At 42.2% G+C, this 1,997-nt stretch overlaps 2 annotated features.

Moving 5' to 3' along the window:
- Positions 1-295: an enhancer, noted in NCBI's record as "tiled region #2184; K562 Activating DNase unmatched - State 8:EnhW". NCBI's record gives its function as "activates a minimal TATA promoter and a strong SV40 promoter by Sharpr-MPRA in K562 cells {active_cell/tissue: K562}" and the evidence as "EXISTENCE:reporter gene assay evidence [ECO:0000049][PMID:27701403]".
- Positions 79-148: a silencer, noted in NCBI's record as "silent region_20937". NCBI's record gives its function as "represses an Ori minimal core promoter by ATAC-STARR-seq in GM12878 lymphoblastoid cells {active_cell/tissue: GM12878}" and the evidence as "EXISTENCE:reporter gene assay evidence [ECO:0000049][PMID:35858748]".

Here is a 1,997-nt window from a genome sequence, read left to right on the forward strand (position 1 = left end):
CAATTAATTTCCCAGACCAGCTAAGCCTGGGAACTTCTGGGAGCTAACGGATTTTACCTGAAGGTGAAGTCCAGCCCACGTCCGTGGGCCACCACATCAGACCCTCCCAAGAACGCAAGGGAAGGCCTAATTTACATAGTTGCCCTGCCCCCTAGTGTCCACAGGCAGCAATAACAGCAGGCAGGACTCAAGCTTCTAGGTATGGGCAGCAGGGCTGCAGGGCTTTTTTTGTGCTCCACACAATGGCGCCTGGCTAAAGGGATGTGGGAATGAAATTAAGCTCATGCTCTTCTCACCAAGCCTTGTGCCCTGCACAGGACTGCATCCATCTGGAGGTTGACCTCTTTTTTCTAATCTGTCTGCCAAGAGGAGCCATTTTTTTTTTTGGTAATTCTATTTTAAAAATTTCCACATAGCTTGAGATTTCTAATGTCTAAAGCTACCAGAAAGGCTGATACCAATCCCATGTGATAGGCCAGGCCGTCGGCATGTACTCAAATGTATATTCCATTTCTGAAAATTCACTTGTCCTATAAGAATAGCTCAGGGTGTTTGTGTAGAAGTGGCCCCATTCCAGAAAATTCCCGGACTGGGAACTTCATAGTCATCCATCCAGCTATGAACTTCTGTTAGCTCCACCCCCAAAATATATCCTGAATCCATCCACATCTCTCCATCTTCACTCATTTCTGATCCAAGCTAGCAGAAATTTCTTGCTACAATGGTAGCAATACAGGGAAAAACATTGGCCTGCTACAATGGTCTCCCTGCTGCCACTCTGGCCCCTCCACACAGCAACCAGAATTATTTATTAAAATATATGTAAATTCATGTGACTCCCCGCCAATGGCTTCCCAATGGGTTTAGGATAAAATCCAAAGTCTTTCCGTGGGTTACTAGGCTGTGGATAATCTGTCTTCTGCTTAGCTCATCTACCTGTCGCTCACCACTCTCCTGCTCATCCACTAAGCTCAGCAACACTGGCCATTTGTTTTAATTGACATTTTTATTGAGATAATTGCAGATTCACATGCAGCTAAAAAAAACAAGAGCAAGATCTCTCATACATTTTGCCCAGTTTTCCCCAATGGTAACATTTTGGAAAACTGTAATATCATAGTAAGAATAGTGATGTTGATACAATCCACCTATATTATTCAGATTTCCCTGGTTTTATTAATATTTATCCTCATATGTGTGTATGTGTATTTAGTTCTATATAATTTGATCATCCATGTAAGTTCATGTGATGGATACCACCACATGTTAAATAAGCATATCATGGAAAATGGGGTATGCATCCTAAAACAGTAGGTCTTATAGTACATAGTCAAAGTACTGAACAGTGCCATCACCTTGAGGATCCCTCCTATTGCCCTTTTATAATCATATTCATCTCCCCCCACCTCCTTAAACCTAGGCAACCATTAATCTGTTCTTCATTTCTATAATTTTGTCACTTCACAGACATGATATAGATAGAATTGTACAATATGTAACTTCTGGGACTGGCTTATTTTCACTCAGCATAATTTTCTAAAGATTCATCCAGGCTGTTGCATGTAGTTTTTTTTATTGCTGAGTTGTATTCCACAGTATGGATGAGCTTCAGTTTAATCATTCACCCATTGAAGGGCATTTGTGATATTTATTTACAGGTCTTACATAAATATAAGTTTTCATTTCCCTGGGATAAATCCCCAAGATTGCAGTTGCTAAGTCACATTGTAAGCACGTGTTTAACTTTTTTTTGTTTTTTTCGAAACAGGGTCTCACTTTGCTCACTCTGTCATCCAGGCTGAGTGCAGTGGCATGAGCATGGCTCCCTGCAGCCTTCATCTCCTGGCCTCAAGCGATCCTCCAACCTCAGCCCACCCAAGTAGCTGGACCACAGGTGTGCTTCTGGCTAATTTTTTTTTTTTTTTTGTAGAGATGGGGATCCTCCTACGTTGCCTAGGCTGGTCTCAAACTCCTGGGCTCAAGTGACCCCGACACCT

Source organism: Homo sapiens, chromosome X (genome assembly GCF_000001405.40).
Source record: "Homo sapiens chromosome X, GRCh38.p14 Primary Assembly".
Classification (NCBI taxonomy): Eukaryota; Metazoa; Chordata; class Mammalia; order Primates; family Hominidae; genus Homo; species Homo sapiens.